This window comes from Homo sapiens, chromosome 18, assembly GCF_000001405.40.
Source record: "Homo sapiens chromosome 18, GRCh38.p14 Primary Assembly".
Classification (NCBI taxonomy): domain Eukaryota; kingdom Metazoa; phylum Chordata; class Mammalia; order Primates; family Hominidae; genus Homo; species Homo sapiens.
The window spans coordinates 10,845,351-10,871,999 of NC_000018.10; the positions used below are offsets into that span (position 1 = coordinate 10,845,351).

General features: G+C 40.4%; 1 protein-coding gene across 11 annotated transcripts in view; it reads right to left on the reverse strand.

Annotated features, from left to right (window-relative positions):
• The window catches only part of PIEZO2 (piezo type mechanosensitive ion channel component 2), a 479,323-nt gene that overhangs the window by 175,104 nt on the left and 277,570 nt on the right, over positions 1-26,649 (reverse strand). For all 11 annotated transcript variants that reach the window (XM_047437735.1, XM_017025918.3, XM_047437736.1 and 8 more), the window contains exons 5-7: positions 25,903-26,065; positions 11,651-11,861; positions 10,003-10,216 (exon numbers count right to left, since the gene is read on the reverse strand). In XM_047437735.1, coding sequence (XP_047293691.1) covers positions 10,003-10,216; positions 11,651-11,861; positions 25,903-26,065 — 588 coding nt within the window. The remainder of the gene's footprint in view (positions 1-10,002; positions 10,217-11,650; positions 11,862-25,902; positions 26,066-26,649) is intronic.

Here is a 26,649-nt window from a genome sequence, read left to right on the forward strand (position 1 = left end):
TGGTGGTTAGGCTTTTAAGAGACTATGAAAGAGGAGTTATTTGGTTGGATTAGATTTTACTAAATTACTAGATTCCACACAAACTGGAAATCAGTAAAGACATCCTGACTTAACCCTCACATGTAGCAGTTTAATAATAATAATAAAAAAATCACATACATGTGTTTCTACAGAAAATTCCAGGGGGAACATGGAACTGACATTCTTTGGTTGATTGCTAGTTACCAGGATGGGTAGCCCTCGGGCACACTGTCTTACTAATTTCTACCACACTGCTCTGCAGCAGGTAAAGGAGCCCCATTTTCAAGACCAGGACCCCCACATTAATTAAGAAACATTACCCAGTGTCTCTCAACAATGAAAAGCAAACTGGGTCTCTGAAGGACATACTGAATAGAAACTGAAGTCTCTCATGTCTTCAAAAGTTAAAGCTACTGACTACTTTAGGCATGTTTATTTTAAGCATCAAGGATAAAGGTCTTTTGGAGTTTCTCAAATAAATACATTTAAAGCCCATCATTTTTCTAAAGCAAAAACTAAATATTTGCAAACACCACGTTAAGAACCATGGCTACTTATACCATTAAGCCTCACTTAGTTCCTAAGCAGAGCTTCATATTCAATAATCTGTGGATGGATTGAGGCAGTGGGAGTGCCGTGGGTGTATGAAGATTGATGATGACCTTTCTGGAAAATAATTTCCCCACACATCTTATAGCCAGTGGCCACATCTGAAGCTTAGTATATTAGTCCATTGTCACACTGCTGAAAGTGACATACCCAAGACTTGGCAATTTACAAAAGAATGAGGTTTATTGGACTTACAGTTCCACATGGCTAGGGAGGCCTCACAATCATGGCAGAAGGCAAGGAGGAGCAAGTCACATCTTACACAGATGGCAGCAGGCAAAGAGAGAGCTCATGCAGGCAAACTCCCGTTTTTTAAAACCATCAGATTTGTGAGACTCATTCACTATCACCAGAACAACACAGGAAAGACCTGCCCCCATAATTCAATCACCTCCCACCGGGGATGAGATTTGGGTGGGGTCATAGCAAAACCTATCACTTAGAGTTCAAGAAAATCAAGTTTTACATTATTCTGATATATAAGGAGATAAAATACAAGGGTTTTAGGAAACAGAGAGAGAAAAGAAGCTTGAACTAAGAGTTCCTGAGAGGCCAATGTATGTCAGCAGTGTTAAATCCTGAGAGTACCAAAGCCAAAAAAGCCCATCATGGCTCTGAAGAACTGGGTCCTAGTGAGTCAGACATATGCATGAAGGGATTATTATGGCCCAATGCAGCTGGTGTTATAAAGCAAGTTTGCACAGAATAATTGCCTACAAGATAATTTTCCTTCCTTATAAAGGAAGATGGAAGGTTCTGGAAGGAGGTGCATGGGTAGGTTTAAGGGACAAACAGGAGCCAGTGAGAGCAGTGAGCAGGAGATTTCCAGCAAAGGAAACAGTATAAGGGATGGAATTGCTTTATGTGCACAGGGGAACTGCAGGCATGATGGGAGATAAGGCTAGAACTGTTGGAAATGGGGAAGTGAGTTTGAATAATAAAAATATTTGATGACTACAACAATAAAAATCAGTAGCACTTGATATGCTCTCTCCTGCTTACTACACCCACCCACTCTGGGCTGGGCACTATCTTCACCCCTATTTTATAAATAAGGAAACAGAGGTACAGAGAGTTTTAGTAAAGTTCTGCTAGGTGCTCTGCCTAGAAAATAGCAGGGCCAAGGTTCAATCTCGAGCCCGTGGACTCCAGGGAATGAGCTGTTGAGCATTAGCAGAATCCTCTTAGTGTGGTATTATTAAATCAGTGGAACCCATGTGATGCTCGCTGGCCAGATGACATGACGGCAGCCGGGGCAGGTGACTGCAGGTGAGCTGCAATCCTAGCTATGGACCCTTTAGAATGAGTCACTGAGTCTGGCTAACTGTGGGGAATTCTAGGTGCCCACAGAGGCATCTTCTCCATAAAAACTGAAAGGAAGACCGTGGAGATGCCCTTGGTGGGCAAAAGGAGAGAAATCTGGCCCAGAACACTTAATCCAGGCTGAGAGTCTGGAAGGTGCAGTGGGGAAGTCTTAGGTCACTGGGCTGGATAAACACGCAGTGCAAAGGCCCGTGGGCTCGGCGAGAAGCCACAGTTGCTTTTGTACCCAGTACAGGTGTCGTGGCTGAGTAGGACACCTCATTGCCCTGGGATCCCGGTCCCCACTACACCCACGTAGGCCCCCAAACGATACCAAGGTCCAGATGAACTCAGAGTTCAAGTATTTAAGTTCTGTTGATTTTCCACTTATCTGTGTAAAGTCAATTTCTCTTGGGGCACCTAACTCTACCTTTCAGATAAGCATAAATGAACTCTGAATGAGACCTGTAGAATAAGTCACTTCATCATTAAGCATCTTTTCAAAATGAAACCTACACTTGTTTATCATGTATCATCTGCCAACTTCACAAATTAAACACTAGAGATTAACTGCTGCCAATGCCATCTTCTAACAAAAAGGTGAAGGGAAAGTGGTAGCTTGGTTGGGTTCATTTGCATTCCTTAGCATTATAATAACGTGCTTTACATTTGTTTTTCTCCACACACTGGACCGATTTCAGATGAAGGTTTTGCCAACTGGTCTCCATTAAACACAATTTAGTCTTTCTGTGCTGTTTCTGTTTATGAAACTTCAGATCACCCCAATGCAAGACAGGCACACTCTAGCAATCTTGATGGGGTGCAAAAGTACATTCATTTCAATAACCGGATTATGTAGCCGCTTGCAAAGCAAGACCGCGGCAGACCTAACAGAAGAGCTGACTGCATTCTTTCATTTTCTAGATGACCCCACTGGCTTCTCCAAACTAGAAGAAAGATATACAGCATTGAGGCACTTATTTCTCCTTGCATATAATTGATATTTTACAACTATTATAAGAAAGTATAAACATAAATGGTATTGCACTTGGAATGCTTGTTTTTTAACTTTAGAAGAAACTCATCATGCTAGAATTTGAGGTTTTGCTGTTTCTTATTTTACATTGTTTTAACATTGACAGAAACGTGAGCTTTTCCTTCACTAAACAATTCATTTTCTAATTATCATGATTTATTGAAGTAGATGATAAAAAAGGGTAACAGGACAAATCATTGTACATTTATTTAAGAGAGAATGCTATTTTCATAGAGAATGGGCTGAGAATCTTTCCCATTCCTTCCCACCCTTCATTTTGAAACCTCACAATGTAAGGTGAAAAGCAGCAAAACAACAAACTGAACTTGAGCAAACAAGTCCGACCCCTGCAGTGACTCTTGGGAATGATCTAGAGAAAGTTCATGAGTTGGAATGAAAGCCAGTCAAGGATTAAAAGAGACAACTTAACGAATTGTTCAAAGTTGCATGCTCATTTCAGTGCTGAACATATGCTAAATGTTCATTAGTAGGATCTAGAAATAAATCTATAGGTTCCAAGTGTTTACATTATGATGAAGGAAATCATAGGCATCCATTTCAGCCTCCTGCCATCCCCTCCACTCTAAGTACTTCAGAACTTTAAACTGAATTATCCAGATCACCACAAGATAAGCAAACCAACAAAAAGCCCTCTTTTTGTCAAGAAGTGTCTTTAGAAGAATTCACCCAAGGATTCCTTTTTTTTGAGACAGAATCTCGCTCTGTCACCTAAGCTGGAGTGCAGTGACACGATCTCAGCTCACTGCAACCTCTGCAATCTCTGCCTCCTGGATTCAAGCAAATCTGCCTCAGCATCCCGAGTAGCTGGGTCTACAGGTGTGTGGCACCACGCCCAGCTCATTTTGTATTTTCAGTGGAGACGGGGTTTTGCCATGTTGGCCATGCTGGTCTCAAACTCCTGCCCTCAGGTGATCCACCTGCCTTGGCCTCCCAAAGTGTTGAGATTACAGGCTTGGGCCACTGCGCTTGGCCCCTCTCCCAATCCAGAATTTCTTTAGGTATCTTCTTCACAAGGACGCAGGCTGTGATGTGCGGCCAAACTATTAAAATTGGCTTTTAACTGAAAGCACCACCAAGTAGAAAAACTCAAGTTTATCACGTACAGGTGTGTTTTAAAGCCTCTCAGAGGCCACAGATTCCCAGTAGTGAAACAGGAATTGAGTCCTCCCGCCCCCGGCTCCTTTGCTTTGCTCAGGGCACCATCTGCATCGTTAACGCAGGATGCCTATAGGACAGAAGCCGCCCAAGGATCCCTGAACCGTAAACGGGGCCAGCCCTACAAGTAGGAAACGCATGAGGATATGCACACCTCGAGCTGGGGGAAACCGAACATCAGCCTCATAACATTAATTCTTCCATTCTTGCTTCCTGTCTTGCAAACTGTAGTGTTTGCTGTCTACTGAAATTCCCTATGAAAATACAAAACCTTTGGAAGAAATTACTTTGCATTAGCTGAGGCAAATTTTGTTTAGTTCACCATTTTTCTTCGGGAGACCTGCCAGACTAACAGCTGCCATAGGGCTCTATTCTTTTAAACAGACTGTTTTGAATGGTATATTACTGGTCTTAGATTTAGTTATGTGGATACACTTGAAGCTTTCTTCTGCTGGATCAACTTCTGAGTGTGGTCACTGAGTTTTGCAGTTATTGTTATAATAGACTACAGCACTTCAGATTTGGGAAGAATAATCTCAATTTCAGACCCAGTATCTTAACCTCCCCTAAGTACACCTATCTCTGTCACATAATAAGTCCTACATTTTGTTTTGGAAAATATGCTCGTGCCACACCTGTGTGCATAAACGGAAGGGAATCACTAATTCTCACCCTCTCCTGGATAAAAGTAATGCAAAAACTCAACCACATGTGCAGATGAAACTGGAAGGAAGCACGTGATTTTTTGGGACCATGGGGTGAAAAGAAGGGATTACTCTAGAGAAAAATGAAACTCCAGCCCTGTGCCACACATCGGCGTGGAATTTCAGTTTATACCATATGCATGGGGAGGGCATCGCAAACCGGTAAGCTAGTTAACATTATGTTGGCCTAGGACCTGGACACCTGTGCATCCTCCAGCAGAAGCAAGCACCCCCACAGCCCTGCAAAGGCTCTTTCACAGCTGCGAGAATGTGGGGTTGCAACTTGCTCATCATTAAGTTTTGTTTAGATTTAGAAGTAATGTGGGCACTTGTTGCAGCCTTATTCATGAGAACAAAAATGAGAAATCATCTACGTGGTTAAAACTCAGGGGTTGACTAAATTCTAATATAGCTACACAATCACTTTGCACTCTATGAAAATTACATTTTAGAACATTTTATAACATAGGAAAATACACAGTTTGCATAAATACAGCAAATTATAAAATAGTATGTGCAATATGATTCAAAATTTGTTTGTAAAAAGTACCTATAGACATAAGAAAGATTCTGAAAAAAATTTGGCTAAAAAGCAATAGTATTTATTTCTGGGAATAAGGATTACATTTTAAAGTGTTTTTTCTTATTATTTTATTTTTCCAAATGACCAAAAAACATGTGTTTAGTATAACAGTGTGACAAAAAATATCAATTCAATATTTCTAAAAATAAGGTTAATTCTCACCAGAGAGCACATTTGAAAGCTTTTTTACCAGAAGATAAAAATTGCTTGGACTGTTTTAAGGGCAGCTTTATCTATCCAGGAAGTGAGACAGAAGGGCTGGAGTCTCCGTGGTTATGAAATTTGTGATAAACACCCACCCATGGTGATTTTCTTTATTTCTATGTTTGTTTCCTTCTTTCTCTTTTTCTTTTCTTTTCTTTTTTTCTTTTATCTTTTTTTTTTTTTTTTTGCCAGTCTGCAGTTTGTTTTCTTCCAACTCAGAGTTTGGGGTTAATAACAATACACTGAAATTATGCCCTAGGATAAAGCTATGGTTTAAATATGCTAATTTCCATGTTTTAAAGGAATAAAATGTAATGTCCTGTTATCGGCAAGTTAATGGGGAGGAAATCTACAACAAGGAACTTTACATACTGCATTGTTTAGCTCACATTTTCTATTCCCTGATAAGCAACTTAACTTCCAATGTCTTACTCTATGAGATTATAATAACAGACCTTTTAAACTGTTAAGGGGATGATGTACCGAAATGTCTGTAATAAATTATAATTTTACTTTTATGACAATTCAAATGAAGAGCAAATATGATGTTATTACACTATTAGAACTGTTAATATCTTTACCATAAGATGATAAATTATAGCCCCTGCGCCAAGTGTAGTTCAGTGCTTGTTTTGGTGCCATGTATGAGCTAATAATGATTTTTACATTTTTAAATGGTTGGGGAAAAATTTAAAAAAATTTTCATTAAATGTAAAAGGAATATGAAATGCAAATTTGTATTTGTAGTTTTACTGAAATACAGCCATGATCATTTTACATGGTGCCCAGCTGATTTCACATTATAATGACTTCTTGAAAGAACTGTGACAAAGAGCATATGGTTCTCAAAGCCTTAACTATTTACTAAGCTTTACAGAGAAAGTTTGCCTGATCTAGTATTTTCGAGGTGGTTCTGAATATTCTTTGTATTTTCTACCCTCAGCCGCTAGATGGCATAAAAGATCCTTAAGCCAGTAGAAAGAATAAACCAAAAACCAAAAAACTTCTGCCCTACAGAGGATATTTACATTTTCAATTAAGTCATCCTCTAAAAGGCAGTTCTTTCAGCAGTACAAAACTTTTTGCTATATGTGTTCAACAAACTAAAAATTAAACGTTTAAAGGAAACTAAAAGCATTAATTTAGTCTAGAAATAATGTCTGCACTGAAATTTAGCTTTTATTCACTTCTGCCTGGAGTAAATATTATGTGAATATGCACTATTAAAGAGGCTCCCCAGTTTTACTGTGTCTATACAAAATTCTTTTCTTATTAGACTGAATTTCACTTCTCCAGTTGCCAGGCTAATACAATCAACTGAGCCAACTGGATTTAGAATAAGGTGGGAATGTGTGTGTGTGGATGGGTGTGTGTGTGTGTGGGTGTGGATGCTTGTGTCCAGCACCAACTTTTACTTATTTTAACTGAATTTAAGTGGTCTTAAAGGATTTGACTGAATAGCTCTCTATAGCATGTGCCCTCTCTCTCTCTCTTTTTGTTAGCACTGTATAGACACAGTCAGCCACAACTAGTTTTACCACGGCCAAATTTTACACATAAATCAATCAAAGCAAGGCCACTGGGCCCTCTCACACATTCTGTCTTTATAATTTACGATCACATTAAAACCACATTATGATGTCTTGAAAGGATGCAAACCTGTATTGCTGGTATGGTAATAATATTCATGTTCTTTTAAATTGCAGGTTCCTCATTTCTCAACAAGAAGACAAAAAGCACTACATTACCATCCAGAGGCACAGCAGAGAGAATTCTGGCACCGTCTTCACCTAACACTCACACCCTCTTCTACTGTTACAGAGGTAAGTGGTCAGGCATGAGTGGGGCAGGAGAGGGCACCCCCCACCCACCAACCGGGAACGTCAGGAGACCATAAGGTGATAGTCAGGAGGTTTTTACACTGTTTCTCTAAAATAGTAATTGGTTGCAGCTGGGGGCTTGGGAAGGCAGTCTCCCAATATACAGAAAAAAAACAAAACTGGTGATCAACAGTTTCCCGATAAGACTTCAGGAGTTGGGTGAGTGGGCTCAAGCATGTGCAGTAAGAGGTAAAATGGCGGAGTTTAACTGGTACATGACCTTGTAGGAGCATTCGGTGAGGGAAGAGCACTTCAAGTGAGCGAAGAGCACTTCAAGTGAGCATGCGCACAACTCCAGTAAACAGACTACATGCAGCCCCTCCCAAGGGCTGGCAGGCCACTGTGCATGCAGACAGCCCACCCCCAGGGAAGAATCAGGGGAAAAGGGGCCCAAGACCCCGGAATCAAGCCAATGTATAAAACCCCAGTCAAAGGTCAAACCGTGCACTTGATCTCAAGTCGCCTGCTTAGCCCACTTCCAAGTGTACTTCACTTCCTTTCATTCCTGCTCTAAAGCTTTTTAATACATTGTCACTCATTCCTGCTCCAAAACTTGCCTCAGTCTCTCCTGCCTTATGCACCTCAGTAGAATTCATTTTTCTAAGGAAGCAAAAATTGAAATTGCAGCAGATCCATGGGAATTCGCTGTCAGTAACATACTTTGGTGCTGCGAGACTCAGATGTGTTTCACTGCTAACATTACCATTTCTGTCCCCTTTCTTTTTTCTGGAACTGTCAATTATGAACCTTTCCTCATGCAAAGAAAAGTTCAAATAGGACAGTGGATAACCCTATACTGATCACCTAGTTTAAATAATTTGATTTGTCTTCTCTCTGTTAACTATTCCTATGTATGTATGTATCTATCAATCTATTATGTTGGTTGTTAAGCCATTTTTAAGTTGCAGACATCAAGGCACAGCTTATCTAAATAACTCACCATGTATCTCCTAAAATAATGGCATTTTTCTGTCTACCCACAAAACCATCATACACCTAAGAAATCAGCAATAATTCTATAGTCCAATATCCAGTGAACATTGAAATTTCTCCAATTTAACCCCAAAAAAGTTTTAAGAATTTGTTGTTGAACCAGGATCTGATCTACAGCTGTGCTTCACACAGGTTTAAGTATCTACTGTGCTCCTCTGAACTAGACAGTTGCTGCCTCCACTCTCTATGCAGGCCTCTTTTCCATGCTGATTTTTTTTTTAAAGACCCATTCATTTGCCTTGCAGAATCCACATTTTGAATTCTTTTGATTGTTTTTCTTGTGGAGCTATTTAAACTGTTTCCTAGCCTTTATATTTTCTGTAAATGGGAGGTTAGGTCAAAAGTCTTAACCATATGATGCTGTATAGCTCATCTGTTGCATCACACTGAGAGGTGTGAAATGTTAAGCTATCTCAGTTTTGATCATGTTGACTTCAATCAATTCCTCAAGATATTGATCACACCTTTGGAAAGATGTTATTTTTTTTCTTTGCAATTAGCAAGCACCAACAAGGTTCTACTTTGTCATTGTGCAACCACCACGACCTTTATAGTAATTATTTCAGGTGTGGACATAATAGAACATATCATTAAGGATTGATGAATAGTAATTCTCTAATTCTATTATTCCTTTGCCCTGTCATTATCTAACATCATCCTGCATGGAGGAATTTTCTCTCATTCACTGAGAATGACTTATTAAAAGTCAAAGTAAATGCTAGATTCTTTACCTTTAATTCTCATTTTCATAGTAAGGATTTGGTGTAATAGTCATCTCCAATCGAAGCAAAGTATTTGATGTTTCTCCCTTTCTCTCTCACACCAGAGACTTATGTATTTTCTTATTTATTTGTTTGTTGGTTTGTTTGCTTTGAGACAGGGTCTCACTCTGTCACCCAGGTGGGAGTGCAGCGGTGTGATCATGGCTCACCGCAGTCTTGACCTCCCAGGCTCAGGTGACGCTCCCACTTCAGCCTCCTGAGTAGCTGGGACCACAGGTGTGCGCCCTCATGCCCAGCTAATTTTTTTTGTAGAATGGGGTTTCACCATGTTGCCCAGGCTGGGACTTTTATTTTTAAGCTTTTACAATTAGTTAATGTTTCTGACGCTTAATTTGTTCTCGTATATTAGGCCCATGAAACGCCTTTCTAGCTGGATGCTGTGGCACATCCTTATTGTTCTTCGGTGTAAAATGTTCTTCCTGATCTTCTTCCCCAGCTGAGACTCTGTGTCTTATTCCTACACATGACAGCTCCCTGTCCTCCTGCATCCCAGCGGCATCTCCATCTGAAGAGACCACTGTCTTCCTTCCAGACTGTGTCATCCAATACAATGAAAGTGCTAGACTGCTTCACCCACCCCCACAAAATCTTTGCTTAACACAGCAATTGCCTGCCATCAAGAATAACCCCTGTAAATTCACAATGCCAAACCAAGGTCCCAAAGGCGTGGGGGGACAACCTCTCCTGGAAATGCCATAAGGATTTCTCTTACCTTGCATAGTAGTCATTGGGTGGAACTGCCTCTTGAAAGAATTGGAACTGGTATAAATAAAGTCCAATCAAATGTCCAGCAGTGAAAATAGCCAGCAGAACACAGAGACAGCTGAACAGCAATGGGTCGAACGTCCGGCACCAGGACCACCAGGTGCACAGACCCAAAAATACAAAAAAATACACAGATGATGTCAAAGACGGCAACATCATGCCTAAGGAAGAGAAACGTAATCACAAAGTCAGGTAGAACTGGAAATTCACTTATCATTCAGTGAATGTGACTATTTGAAATTATGTGAATTTCCTTCAAGTGTTTTTAGGTTTTTTAAAATAGTAATTTTTAAAAATCATGTTTGATTTATATAATAAAAATTAATGCTAGATTTATTGTGAAAAAGTCACATATGAAATGATAACTATAAATACAAAGATATACCAGATGATTAAAAAAATTCCACCTGTGGCGTCTGAACTAAGTAAATGTCTACTTTTCATACCAGTAGCATCTGCATATTTACTTGCCTGTTTCCATCTTTCTACTTCTCCCAAATTTTCAAGAATTCATGTATCTGTATGTCTGTTCCAACCTTTCCTGACACCATTTTCTTTATAATAATTTACTACTTTTTTTTTTTAAGTTAACTAGTACATCCTGGCCAATTAAACTCTCACTGTGCCATGCTTATTTTATTTTATTTTGTTTTGTTTTATTTTATTTTATTTTTTGTAGGGATGGGGTTTTGCCAAGTAGCGCAGGTTGGTCTTGAACTCCTGGGCTAAGTGATCTTCCCTCCTTGGCCTTCCAAAGGGCTCGGATTACAGGCATGAGCCACTGCTCCTGGCCAATAACTCCTTTAAAAGTGTTTTTAAGGAATCATAAATAAAGCCATCACCTTAGGGCAAAAGGAGTCTGTTTTATTGGGCATTTTGAAAGGACTCCTCATTAAAATGTTGTGGTTTATTTCTTGAGAAATTCTACTGTCATTTCCCCCATTTTTCCCACTATTAAAAAACAGCTAAGTTGCTGCATCTTTGCAGTTTGCTTGAGTCTACTCTAATACGCCTCCCATAGCTCCGGGGCAGTGGTGAGCAGTGGAATGGAAGGAGGGAAAAGATCAAGATAACATTATTATGGAATAAGCGGTCCAAGTCCAAAATTTAAAGGAAGTGAGCGTCTGTGCTGGAAGATTACAATCTAACTTAGGAAGAAAAATAGTCTATCCTGGAGAGTTATATTAAGGTGACTATGGACTCATGTAAGCAGACAGACCTCCAGAACCCACAATATGGCTTGTGATGGGTGCATGCACATTGTTAATTGCAGCAGGTCACCATTCCAAAGCTCTAAGGAAGAGGATTGTTGTTATTCTAATCTAAACCTAGAAAATGGAGTCGCTTAGCATATATAGAAAAAGATTATTTTGCAGAGGTTAACAGAAACCATCTAAAAACATCAAAACTAGAACTAACCCGGAAAAATTATTTTGTGTGGTTTGTACATGTGGCCAGTTTTACAAGAGCTACAGTTATGATATTCATGTGGTGGAACAGACTGTTTCCTTCATTTCTTCTTCAACCATTTCTCTCATTCACCAAAGCACTGCTTGTGCCTTTTGCTACGTGCAGCCAGTGTGGGAGACACTCACCCGAGGAGCCCAGTAAGATGGTAACAACGACTTTCCCAGCAGTGGTGATCATGTTGCCAATGAACTCCTTGAGCTTAGAGGCCACAGAGGCAAGCCTGCGGAACATTTTTAACTTCGTGCTTTCTTCCAACTCGCCTTCAACACCATCTCCTCCATTGAAATCCTCTTCATAGATCAGTGCCTCTTCTGAATCAATTTTTTCTCCTTCAGCCTAAATAAATGACAAACAGGAAACACTCAAGTCCAGGAGCCTGCCTATCCAGCCAGCAGATTATAGAGCTTCTAATTCATGGGTCAGTCAACGTGGTGAATTTCACAGATCAGGAAAAAAGGGAAGACAACCAGTTCATTCCCCTCAGGTCTCTGATAATCCCCGTATAAGCCCAAGTAACTCTGATCTTTCTGGAAGAAGTAAACATAACAATTATAGGGTCCCTAATAACATGTCATATTCCCTATTTGTGCTTTTTTTTTTTAATAAGCAAAGAAGAAACTCTCTGAAACATCTATTAACAAGTTTAGTTTAGATCGATCTGGGTTTGGATCTTCAAATTTACAGAGTTGGCCACCAAGGTGATAAGAAGTTTGATAAAACTATCCACAGCTTCGACTGAAAGGTGAGTCCAATCAATGCTTAGGAAATTCTGGTTTTTTTCTAAGTTTATCTTTGTTCACTATTTCCATATTTCCTGACTGTGGAAGGATGAGTGGTCCCGGGCTTCTCTTGGCTAAATATAGAGCTGCTTCCTGTCTCATCCTTTTAGAGAATGATACGCTGGTTCAAGCCTCGGCAGCTCAGCACCTAAGTGCTTTAAGCAGAGATTTAGGGAGTAAACACATGTACCAGAACATATGCATATTTCCATGTATTATTTTAAACTGGGTATGCTAAGGCATTTTTGCTTGTTCGTTTTGCGTTTAAAGAATAAATGGGAAAAATTCTTTGGCTAATTAGAATATTTCCCTAGAAGGGTTACGACTTTTTCTTTTTTCTTTCTTTCTTTCTTTTTTTTTTTTTTTAAAGAAATCATAAATAAGTGGCTGGGTGCGGTGGCTGACTCCTGTAATCCCAGCACTTTGGGAGGCTGAGGCGGCCAGATCACGAAGTCAAGAGATCAAGACCATCCTGGCCAACATGGTGAAACCCCGTCTCTACTAAAAATACAAAAAATTAGCTGAGTGTGGTGGCACGTGCCTGTAGTCCTAGCTACTCAGGAGGCTAAGGCAGGAGAAAATTGCTTGAACCTGGGAGGCGGAGGTTGCAGTGAGCCGAGATTGTGCCACTGCACTCCAGCCTGGCGACAGAGCGAGACTTCAACCCAAAAAAAAAAAAAAAAAAAAAAAAAAGAAAAGAAAAGAAGAAAATAAATCATAAATAAAGCCATCACCTTAAGGCAAAAGGAGTCTGTCTGAGATGCATGAAACTTTGTGTGCATTTTTCTCTAGGCTGACAGACTTCATATCTTTAGTCTCACAAAGCTAAGAAGAATTGTTAAGCCCAGTTCAGGCATCTATTTAAGACTTAAAGAGTAGGGTCTGGCCTCTCCATGTTCCCATTTTTAATGGTTCTTTTTTGATATATTTAGGTCAGATAGTTACATAATATTCACTGACGGTGTCTGACCTCTTACTATGACCAAGTTCACGGGAGGAAGGCAGGGACTGGAGTGCCAGTGCCAAGTTCTAGTTAAGCGTAAAGCGGCCTTCAGGACTCAGAGGCCTTTTGTGTGCCCAGAAGGGTGCACACAGTGGGTGACTGGAGTTGACTATTGATGAGCCAAGGCTACAGGATGCACCCAGCCAGCCCTCCACCCACCTACACACACCCACAGGGATTTAATCCTGGGCCACTTCAACTTGACTTCTACTGTATTTCATCATGACACATTTGTATATTTTTTTCTGAAGCAAAAGGAACATCTCATGCTCAATCAATAAGATTTTTCTACCCATACAGGGCCTAGTGTGTCCTAGCATATATAGGAAGAGATATAGCAATAAACACGTAAACAAGTAAAATATTAACCAGCTAAATATCTCACAGTAATGAATGCCCCCTTCAGGGAGGTCGAATAGGGTGATGTGGTAGTGATAAACTGGGTGGCTGTTTCCGATTCAGAGGTCAAGGAAAGCCTCTCTGAGGAGGTGACATTTAAGCTAAGATCTGAATGTCACAAAGTTACCAGCCCTGTGAAAGTCCTGGCAAAGTGCATTCCGGGTGGAGGAAAGAGCTGGTCCAAGGCTTGGTGGCATGTGCAGAAAGAGGGTAAGTGTCCCCAGGCCCGTGGCCACTTCCGCTCCCCTAGAGAACAATTCCCATCTCATTCTCAGAGGATGACCTTGCTTTCTACTGCTCCCAGAGAGGAGCTGCCAGCTCCAGCCAGTACATCAGACCACTCACCTGCAGCTGGCCTGCCACGCACGCACTCTGCCCTCCTCCTGTAACAAGACAAGCTGCATATGCTCCAGCCATGATGACTGCATCCCATCTGCTCAGGACACCAGGGAGAGAACAGCCCAGCCATCCTGGCTCTCTCTCCTGCATCACAATGTGCTTTCTTTCTGCTGGATCACCCCTGTTAACAGGCAAGGGCGCCTTGCTGTCTCACCTTAAAGAAACACATCCTTTCAACCCACGTTTGTCTCTTAAGGTGAAACACTCCAGCAGAGTGGGCTGGACTCACCATTCCATTTAGAGTAAAAATGCTTCCCTACCTAATTTCTCTTGAACCTACTCAAATCAGACTTTGATCTTCAACCACTCCGTCTAATGAGAGGCACACATGATTTGCTTTGCCACATAACTCTAGTTGCTCCTGGGGCGGAGCAGAGGGAGGCAGCAGCGGGGAGGTGGTGGCTGTGCTGGAGGAGAGGGGAGGGAGTGGTGGGGCTGAAGTGAAGATCCTGTCTTTGGAGTCTGTTTTGGAGGTTAGATTAGTAGGTGCAGCTAGGAAGTTTAAAGTGGGGAGGAAGGATAGATGATAATCAGGGTAGCTCCTCTATTTTTGTCTAGGGAGGACAGACAGGAGGGAGGCAGATTGGAGACGGAGAGTCCACATTTCTGTTTTGAAAATTCAGTTCTGAGACCCCATTCAGGCATTCTTCTTGGAGGTATCCAGTAGGCAGCTATTATAGGAGTCTGGAGTGTTGGAGAGGGGCTGGAGCTGAAGAGGGCTTTTTGGAATTCGCCAGCATATGATGGTTTAAACGTCAGTAGCCTGTTGAGGTTACCTGGAGGGAATACAGAGATGGCCCTCCTCGAGGTGCTGCTGCCCCTAAGACCACTCTGCCTTTCCAGATCTATGCCATCTCCTTGCCTGTCAGCATTCCTTGCAAGAAATGACTAGCAGAATCCATAATCCACAAGCTCTCTTTGCCTCTTTGCTGTGGGACAGGTTGTTCCCACCCCTTAGGATGCCTTCTCCAGCTCCTAAGGCCCGGGTCCCAGGGCAGCTCTTCCATTCAGCTTACTCCATCTCCCCACAAAGAAATCCACCCACCAGAGCTATCGCCAGGACACCCACACCATCGTCAACACACAAATGACCTGCTCATCAGGCATCTGTTGCTTCTTTCCCCATCACAACAGGTGAGCAACACATTTAAAATCTCCCTCTAGGAAGGAAGTTTGGCCAAAACCTTTAGTCATTGCACTTGAAAAAGAAGCCAAAGAAAGAACACAGCAAGGGCCTCCTGGGTCACAGTCAGAAACACACTTGTGACTTTCATAATAAATGTGTTCTTATTCAATTATAGAATTGCTACGGATGTAGATTAAATCAAATAGAAATCTCTGATCAAGATGTCTTTGTGAGGTTATACAAATGCATTTCCCTGACCTGTCTTAGGAAGGATTGGGCCTTTGTGATTTTTATAAACATACCACTGTACTTTAGGGTTTTCAGCATTTTTATACAGAAATCCCTGGGGCTGTCGGTTGGAAATACTTTTTAAATTTGCCAAGCTGAGAGCCAAGAGCGAGACGGGTTAGACTCTGTGAGCCCCTACTGTCCTGGTAGGTCAGGGCCAGAACTGCCATTAGTCACGTCAGGCTGGCTTATTAACAGGCAGGCTTTTTCCCCCAAAGTGATTCTTCTGCTGATGTATAAACACTGAACCTCTGAAAGAGCATGGACTCACTCTCGCATGTTTACTAACAGGCAGTCTTGCTTGCTGGAGCTGTAAGCTGTCCCTGCAGCGGAACAGAACTTCAATCTGGCCTTGAGGCTAAGGAGGAGGAAAGGCTGTAAATAAAGATTTAACTTCCCTGGTTCCTGAGTCATCTTAGAAACTGAAGACAAAATAAACTCTTTACAGTTTAAAAAGTCAAATAAATGATTATACAGATTATTGACCATGTCAAAATCTAAAACTTATTTAAAGATATTTAAGTCCTTTATCTCACCTCTTTAAAAGTTTATGATTTTAACAGGAAATCTTGTTATTTGCAACAACATGCATAAATCTAAAGAAGAATATGCTAATTGAAATAAGCCAGGCACAGAAAGACAAATACGGCATGATCTCACTTATACGTGGAATCTAAAGAAGTTGCACTGATAGAAGTAGAGAGTAGAGGGGTAGTTACCAGAGGCTGGGGAAGGAGGCCAGGGACCTGGAAAGGGCAGATGCTGATCAAGGGGTACAAAATTTCACTTAGACATGAAGAATGATTTTGGGGGACCTATTGCACTGCATGGTGACTGTAGTTTTTAATGTATATTTCAAAATAGTTGGCCGGGCACAGTGGTTCATGCCTATAATCCCAGCACCTTGGGAAGCTGAGGCAGGTGGATCACCTGAGGTCAGGAGATCGAGACCTGCCTGGACAACATGGTGAAACCTTGTCTGTACTAAAACTACAAAAATTAGCTGGGCATGGTGGCGCACGCCTGTAATCCCAGCTACTCAGGAAGCTGAGGCAGGAGAATCACTGGAACCAACGAGGCAGAGGTCGCAGTGAGCCGAGATCACGCCACTGCACTCCAGCCTAGGTGACAGAATGAGACTCAATCTCAAAAAAAAAATTAATAAATAAAACAAAATAATAAAAAATAAAATAGTTAAGAGAGGATGTTAATGTCCTCAACACAAATAAATAATAAGTATTTGAGATGATGAATATGCTAATTAGCCTGATTTGCTCATTCCACAATGTATACATGTATCAAAATACCACATTATATACCCCATAAATATATATAATAGTTATTAGTCAGTTAAAAATAAAATAAAAATAATAGAATACTGGAAAACATAGATAAAAGTTGCTGATTTCAACATTTGATAACATGTATTAGTGTAAGATCTCTCATTTCACATAAGGAAACTTTAGGTGCTATGGAATCAACTTTACACAAGGCCAGCCTGTTCTCTGTTAGGGCCCTGAATGAGGGCCTAAACACAAAGCTCTCATCCCACAATGAGACGGGATCTAAACCTTTGCGTCTCTGCATCTCATCCCACAACATCCTCTCACCCTACAGCAGTACTGGTTCCATTAAGCCGTGGCATCCACCATGATTTCCACTCAATTTTGGACAAAGAAGACACAATAAATCACTTTTGGTAGGACACAAACATCCATGTTTCATTACTCCCAAGCACTCTAAAAATCCAACTGGGTTGGAATAAATCCTAAGGATCACCTGGGGACCTTTAAGAGGGCAGATGACCAGGCTCAACCTCAAACTTACTAAATCAGAAATTATGGGAATGAATTCCAGGAAGCTGTATGATTAAAGTACTCTCTGGGGTGACCTGAAGCAGCCCCTCCAGAATTCAGGCCCTGGCCGACATTGGCAACCACTGATCAATGAATTCTCCATAGGGGTTCAGCTGAATAGGCACAATTTGAAAATATATTTTTTTAATCATATCCTAGCAGACTCCCTTATTTGGAAAATAGATTGAAATAAATTATCTCTGGAACCTCCTTTAGGTTTCAGTCGAGCTTTGGACCTCAGAGCAGAGCTTTTCATGCAGCTGAATCCATTTTTTTCTCTTCTTCATGGTTAAAACCAAGCTTTTAAAAACATTTCTATAGAAGTGTATCAAAGTCATGTATAATGAGCCAAAAGATCTGGGAGGCAAAAGGAGCATTTTTCTGAAGTGTCATCAATTGTTTATTCATTGTTTATTATTAAAAGTTAACAATTTATCTTAACAGAATGGGTTCATCTCAATACAAGAGCCAGAGGAAGGAAAAGACAAGGTTGTGACTCACTGCAGAAGATGAATTTCATCCCCAGGGTTCCCTTGTGAAAGGAAGCAGTGAGGGAAAAAAAGATAGATGTGTTTGAATGCTATTGTGTGTACCTTATGCAAGCCTAACGTGATCGCATTTAATGGATAAAGCAAATATTTTATTCTGTTGCTACATTTGTTTTGGGAAGATTATTCTTCCAAACTCCTAAGATCAGCTTAAGCAGTCCCTATTTCATTTGGAAAAGTGAGTGTATAGATGTTGCTTTCAACCACCATCTACAAAGCAATGAAAGTTTAATAAAGAACAGGGAAGGACAAACTGAATCAGCAGACAGTGGCCAGTTAGACCAATGCCTAAAGGATCTGTGGAGCTTTGAAAAAACTAGTCCAATTCCTACCACATGTACTCCCCTACCCCTAGGATTCTGACTTCATAGGTCTGGGAACTATTCTGACCCTGCACTTGAACTTTTTTAAAACTTCCCAGGTTAATTCACCTACTTAGAATGGCAATAGTCTTTAAGAATCATCTGAACATCATTTGAAAGGGAAATGAACAATAATGGAGACTAGCCAAATACAATTGACTGTTTAAAGGCTTTTTTCTTTAAGATATTTTTGTAAAAATCACTTAATGGAACACAATCAAAACAAATCAGCAGTCACACACACACACACCTATATCATCCACTCAGTTCACATTAGTTCCAGAGATTACTACTCATCCTGAACCACCTATTTTCTCTTGTAGGAACCAGCTAAGTGTAGCTGTTCTAAATGATTCACCCTGGTATTCACTCCAAAAATAAAAAATTTATACAGTGATGACAAAGGCAGCATTTTGAGGATGTACAATTCCTTCTTGGTGCTCAACAGTTTCCAGAAAGATTCAGAACCCATATAATTACTTGTGATAGACTAAGATGCAAACAAAACTCACATCTTTGATATGAAGGTGTCAAAATATTGAGCAGAGAAGGTACTGTTTCAGAATCAACAGTATTCCTTCCTGTCTCCTCCATCTATCCCTCCCTCCACTCAGCACTTTTTTAACCAAGACTGGGCTCTGCTCCAAGCACAGTGCTAGGTCCAGGGTGGGATAACAAATGAAAATCCACATGGGACCCCAGTGGTTTTCTGAGGGACCCCAGTAGTCACTCAGGGAAGATATAACTACTTATAAATTGAGAATATAAGGTCCTAAGGACATTGAGAGAAAAAAGAGATTACGTCTGACTAAAGGGATTTGGAATGACCTACTCTAGTTATTCCCAAGGTAAATGTGATTTTTTTAAAAAAGGACAAAAGTCTTGGCAAGCAAAGCAAGAAAACAAAAAATAGTTCTTGTTAAATATTAGTTTTTGTTTATCCTGGCACATAGTAGGCTCTCAGTAAAGATATACTGAATAAATAAACATGCCCATAGATAAAAAAGCATCCTTCTCTGAAGCCCTAGCAAGAAATGGTCAATCAAGAGCAGTTCACCTACATATCAGTGTGCCCTGGCAAAGCCCCAGAAGGGCAAGAGTGGGGACAAAAGCATCCATGCAAGAGTGAACTACACAGCAGAGCTCAAGAAAGACAAGATGGAGAAGAACATCTGTGCAAGAATAAACTGAAGAGCGAATCCCGGAAGGACAAGAATGAGAAGAGCATCTGTGCAAGAGTGAAGTACACAGCACAGCCCCAGGAGGACAAGAGTGGGGAGAAGAGCATCCGTGCAAGAGTGAACTACATAGCAGAGCCCCGGAAAGACAAGAGTCGGGAGAAGAGCATCTGCACAAGAGCAAACTGTACAGCAGAGTCCAGAAGGACAAGAGTGAGGAGAAGACATCTACATGAGATTGAACAGCCTGGAAGAGACCCAGCAGGAAGAGAGCTTACCCTAGCCAAACACAGAGAGAAGGGCAGGGTGGCTACAGCACAGTGAGGGAGTGGGGCAAAAGCACAGGGTGAGGACATGAAGGCAGGATGTGGCCAAACCATGCAGAGTCATGAGCATCAAGGTCAAGAGACTGAATTTTATTCTAGGTTAATGGGAAACCAAAGAAGTGTTTTATCTAGGGAAGTGGCATAATTTAATTTTAATTATACAAGAATAATCCAGATGCTGTGTGCAGCATCAATTGGATAGGGTAAGAAGGGAAGCTCAAGTGGGGAGATCCATTTAGAACATATTTTCAGGCCTTGCTGAGAGGCAGTGGCTGCTTGGTGAGGATTGTGGCAGTGAGTAGAGAAAAGTGGACTGATTTCAGACAGAATTTGAAGGTATAATTCAAAGGATTTGTTGGTGGTGACAGACAAAGGCCCCAAGAAATCCATGTCACATCAGTGTTTCTGGCTCAAGCAGCTGGGTAGATGGAGCTTCTATTAACCTTGATGGGTAAGTCAGTGGGAAGAAGGAGTGGAGGTAGGGGAAGGAGCTGTGTCTCCCGCTCCCAAACATATGACCAATATTTTCAAAGCAATATGGGGAACCTATTTACATTAAGTGGGTGGAAATTCTATTTCAGGGGTATTTACAATTTAAAGGAGGAAAGTAGTACGAAGAAGTGACTGAGATTCCTTGAGTGATGCAGGTTCTCTGGAGTTGGGATGGATAGCATGAGGGGTGGGACTCTGGTTCCTTTCATCTCAGGCTCTACTCTACCCCCCAAGAAAGGAACACAGGGGCTCTGCAATTGCCTCACACAAGTTTCCCATGGGGTATTTGTGGTTATTTGCAATTCAAATGCATGAAATCACCTATCAAATGCTGCAAAGACAGAACAACATATTCCAAGAAATTGTAAAAATATTGATCTAAAAAGATAGTTAAAGGTGAAAGGCGTTTTTGGAGCTTTGATTCTTTGAAAAAGGCAGAGAAGAGGTACATGCTGTTAAATGTTGCTAAATTAATTAAATGGGCGAAATAAAAATGAAGATTAATCTGTAATCATTTCGTTTAAATAGTTTAAAGATACTTTAGTTGATTTCCTCTTTGCGAATTATTTAAATCATTTTTATTATGAGTTGTATACTCAAGTCCATGCTAGGCAATGTCCACTCAATGAACATATTGTCAATAATAATATCCCTGCCTTTTTTTTTTTTTTTGAGACAGAGTCCCACTCTGTCACCCAGGATGGAGTGCAGTGGCGTGACCTTGGCTCACTGCAACCTCTGCCTCCCAGGTTCAAGCGATTCTCCTGCCTCAGCCTCCTGAGTAGGTGGGACTACAGGCACCCGCCACCACACCTGGCTAATTTTTTGTATTTTTAGTAGAGACAGGGTTTCACTGTGTTAGCCAGGATGGTCTCAATATCCCGACCTCGTGATCTGCCCACCTTGCCCTCCCAAAGTGCTGGGATTTTAGGTGTGGGCCACCACACTTGGCCGCCTTTGTATGCAATGAAGGTGGCTCTCACTGACTGTCCCAAGGGCCTGTTCCACAGGTGTGTTGGTATCAGAGGACAGGATGAGTGGGCATCCATGCTCTCACCTGGTGACCAGGGATGTGGCTGGAAGACTCTGGGGGAATAAAGTCAGTCATGGACTCAAAGTTAACTAGTCTGTGATAAATACCAAAACTTTCCAGAAGACAATAAATAGATCCATGACTTCCTACAATAAAAAATCGTCTCTTCTACTGAAACTAATGGCATCTAAAACTACTAGGAGTAAAACCTTTGTCCAAATTGTGAAAGTGTTTTCCCCAAGAAGGCAGACCAAGTGTCCGACATTTTGAGGTATGTATGACAGGAAGTTTTGCCCAGTTTCTGAAAGTGACCTTAAGGACCAGCAAAGGGAGTCGCCCACTTTACCCACTAAGAGTGGCAGTGACAGCCTTTAGCACAACAACAAAGAAGGCTTTCCATTCACACTAAGTCATGAAGTGCAAAGTTTGCAAGGCAACTGGGCAGCCGTTCAGCTTCTTACCATTCTGAATGGTTCCATGTTTCAAATGATCATGTCTGTGTACTTGAAGAAATGGGATCCAGGAAATTTAAAGCTGGAGACTTTAGACTAAATCTCAGGCTAGAACTGAGCACATGTTGAAAGCCTAACTAGAAGACAACAAAATGATTGATTTCTCTCAGTCTTTGTCTCTTGCTCTTTAAAAAAAACAGCAACTTGAACCTCAGAGTTGAGACTTGAAGCACAGCCCATTTGGTCATGTCATGTGCTAGAATGCAGATGCTGTGACAGGCTAATAGACACTAGGAATTAGAAAGCAGGGTGCAAAATCTTTGAGGTCCAGAATAAATTTAGCAGGACTTAATATTGCATCCCTGAATTTTTAGCAGATGGGGATGACTTATAATAGAATATTCTTTTTATCCTTCATATTTGACTTGTCAGTCTATTAAGAAGCTGCCTCTTTACACAGGCTAAGTCATAACTGCAAATCCTATTTGAATAAGCATTTGATCTATCAGAATTTGGCTTAATAATACATTAAAATACTATCTAAAAGAAAGGCCTCAAATCTCATATAATAGCTAGAAAGAATTGTAAGCATAGGATTATATAAGATAATGTCAGTTTGGTGAAATGATATATTGTTTTATTATGTAAATAACTCTTTTCTACTCAATTTAATCTTCATAATACAACTCTTCTTATTTAAGATTTCAGATCAGGAAACTTTCTCCCAGTTATGACTGATTTGTAGATCTGCTTCTGAATTAAAATGAACAAATGAGCAAGACCACAGATGTGTCAGTTGAGAAAGAACCTTTGATGACATTTGAGGAGAAGGGTTTCCTTGCTGAAGTTGGCTGTCAGTAAAATGCAGGAGCAAGGCACAGGCTCCCACTGCACTGCCATCTCCACTTCCACTGGGGGTTTTATGGGGAATCCTTGGATTTGTGAACACCTTTAAAACACCAAACTTGAGCCTTATCAAATCAGTGAAGATTACAGAAGACCCAAGAGTCTTCCCCACGGATTAGTTGCTGCTTTAAAACAACACCGCTTTTGAAAAGGAATTCTCACAGGCACCAGCAGATTAATCCTGCCATTTCTCCACTGAGATAAATGAAAGAAGAAATAATGCCAGCAAACACTGTTCTTTCAGTATCCTTAAAAACCAAACATTCTAGAGTGCAAACTCCAAGATTTATAAGCAGCAGGAAATATGCTGTGGTGTCAAAAATAAAATAAATTCCCTGCTTATTTTGGCCAGGTACTTTTATTCCTCTCAGATTCAAGTCCAGATTGTCACATGGAAGCAATTTTTCCTTGTGAATTAATCTAAGAAGATTCACCCACCACCCTGTTCCTCCTGGGCTACCTGATGGGCTGGAACGTGACAAGAGAATAAAAATCAATGATGTAAAATAGCCCCAAACAAATGTAACTGAGAAGGAAAATAATTCCATAATTATATTTAGTATTTTCAATGTCCCTAATAAATAATGTTTAGAGTATCTGTCCATCTTATTGTTATCTTTAAATAATGTGATTAATAATACATAAGGCTTACATATTCAAGCAAATTTCAAATGGAAGTGAAGTATCCTAAATCTATCTCTGAAAATTGAAATCAGGAAGAAAATGTGACTTTAGAATTAACCCATGTGACTGCATTGTGTTCTTTTCTTCATCAGATGAATGGCACCTCATCATGACCTCACAGCCGTGGCTTTTTATTGATCAATGTAGGCTTTCTTAGTCCTATGGCAAACAGCATTTGTCCTTGGTCATGTAAGTTATTTTTATAAGAAGCTTTGTAAATCTTTCATGGTTATCTGTTATGAATGGCACAGAAGAGATTCTTTTACTGAGTGGGTTGGCCTCAAAATATCTTCCCATTTAAGTTTCAATAATTCTAAGAGGAACATTGGAATTTGAAATTGCACTACTACCTCTCAAATTGGAGAAGGACAAAATGAGCAGAGCAAATAGCAATTTATCTAAGCAAGCAAAATGAGCAGGCACTGTGGCAGGTGCTTTTTATTAGAAATTTTATTTAGCATTCACAACTACTAGGTGATATAGTATTAGTGTCTCTCTTTTGTAGAAGAAGAAAGAGAAGAAACAATTGTCTCAGCATCACACACTAGGCGGCCTCCATGTCTGACTTCTAAGTCCACTCAATTTTCAATACTTATCCTTTCCCCTCCTTCTATAGTTATTATTTATGAGGATAATAATGCATGCGGGGCTTGAAATCTGGATGACGGGTTGTTGGTTGCAGCAAACCACCATGGCACATATATACCTATGTAACAAACCTGCACTTTCTGCGCATGAATCCCAGAACTTAAGTTAAAAAACAAACAAACAAACAAACAAAAACTTGCTTTTATAAATCATAAAAATAACAAATACCCAGTCTGAAGAATGTGAGTTACTGGTTTACTTTCCCCAAACTTAGGCAAATTTTGGTAAAGATTATTTAAATAAAGTCATTTTCAAACTGTAAATGTAAAAAATAGTCAAAATTTAAATCCTCTGTCTTACAATTGGAATGTCAACAAGAAGAAGAAGCACTCTTCCGTTTTTAGGGCACTAATGCATGCCTTATGGTGTCAAGTCTTGAAAGTAAGATGTAAGTGGTTAGTAGTGACTTTGACTTTACTATAATTACTGTTACACCAAGCATCATTTTAACATTTGCCTTAAAAATAGCAGAATATTGATAAGCAAGGTGATTGCATATCTTTTACCCATAAGAATTTTAGACAATGTATATATTTTTTAAGACAGAGTCTCGCTCTGTCACCCAGACTGGAGGGCAGTGGTGTGATCTCGGCTCACTGCAACCTCTACCTCCTGAGTTCAAGTGATTCTCCTGCCTCAGCTTCCTGAGTAGCTAGAATTACAGGCAAGCACCATCACGCTCAGCTAATTTTTGTATTTTTAGTAGAGACAGGGTTTCACCATGTTGGCCAGGCTGGTCTCGAACTCATGACCTCAGGTGATCTGCCCACCTGGGCCTCCCAAGGTGCTGGGATTACAGGTCTGAGCCACAGTGCCTGGCTAGACAATATCATTTCTAGTTTGCATAGGTTTATTGAATTCTATCCCTCCTTTATTGTTTTTTAAATAAGCATACAAGGAAATTGTCTGCTTTCTTGTGAACCATATAAATCATTTTCCATAAGTGAGAATTTTCCTCCCTCAATGGCTCATCGGTTAACATTCTCAATATAAGTAACTTCAATTAACTTCAGTTTTATAAGTGTAATATCTTGCCAAAGCTTATGACTGAAAACATTTAGTACTTGCAAGCGTTTTGCATCAAATGTCCAAATAAAATAGTCACTTTTTCCTTTATAAATGTTATCTTTCCACTAATAAATCAATTACTCTTTAAACTGATGTCTCCTAACCTCACCTAACAAAGTACAGTTATTAGAACATAACAGTGTCCTGAGGCTGGTCAGGGGGCAGCGTGAGAGCCGTCTGACAGCTCTGATACCCAAGGACGAAAATAGGACAAGCTTCCAATTCAGCAGTTGCTCCTGAAACCTTTCAACCAGCTAGCAAACATACATCTCGTTCATTATTTTTACCTTTTTAAAATTCTCACACTTTTCCAAATATGTATGTTTTTCCCCCTTGGAGTGCTTTAAAACAACTTGATCAAAGCATGCCAAGTTAACACCAGTCCACTGAGCAGGACAAGGTGCACAGACTGGAAAGCTGCCCTGCAAGGAGGAACTCATTTTTTTCCCTAAAACTACCAGATGTTACTTCTTTAAATATTCTGCAATAACTAAGGTACCCAGACCAATTGAACCATAACACTATGTATGACCTTGCACGGTTAGCCTCCGAGATAATATCACGTGATAGTTTGGGGTGGTGGGTCAAAGCCTGGCCCTTACCTATGAACACCCCTGAGCCTGTCTTCTCATGGCTAAGGTGTGGACCAGAGTGTCTGCCCACCGGGACTGCACGAGGGTGTCATGCAATTTGACAGTAAACGTTTATGTCAAGCACTGTGAATCATAACGTGCTCTGTATGCTCAGCTGTTATTATCATAGTTCTGCAACTTATTAAGGGTCAAGGTCCTCAGAAATCAAAGAAGGAAGAGACATGGAGTTGGATTTACCAATTCTTCATTTTCAAACTCCGGGTTACTCTGTGCTGCTTCGTCTGTCACAGGTTTCTGAACAATGTTTCTACAGAGGAGCCAGATGGTCAGACTAGCAATGAACATCCCGATGTCAGGTACAAACACTCTGATCCCATTGCCAGCATCAGCTCCCTTTAAGCTATAAAGGAAAAACAAGGGGAGGGGAAAAAAATTTAGTTCTTATATTTCTACGGTTAAACTGCCTTATAGGATGTTTTGGTCTTCTTAATGATTTAAAATAAAAGATGCTCCGTTTCTCCCTAAAAGGTACAAGAAAGCTTTTTATTGACCTCAGTGTCTCACAAAATCTACACATTCAGGAAGATTCCAGTGTTCCCTGGAGTTTCAGAAATATTATAAAGAACTTTTGAACCAATCCTCACTCCTAAAACGTCCTAATGGACTATGTTTTTGTTAAATAAACCACATGTCCAGTACAAATGCAGTTGTTTGCAATCTAGCTGAAGCAGTCTAAAACTAAATACATACTAGCAGCTAGAAGATATTTTACTTTTGATATAAGTCAAAGATACAAGGAAAATAGAGAAAATGTTAAAGTAATCCTGGAATCCAGGACCTCTTCATTATTTTGTATACTTGGTTGATTTTGTCTTCTGTATTGTTCCAAGAAAGGTGGATCCAGTACATTTTCTCTTTTAATCCCAGAGAAACAACACTGAACTTAGAAGATTTGAGTTCAAGTCCAAGTCTGAAACTTAGTAG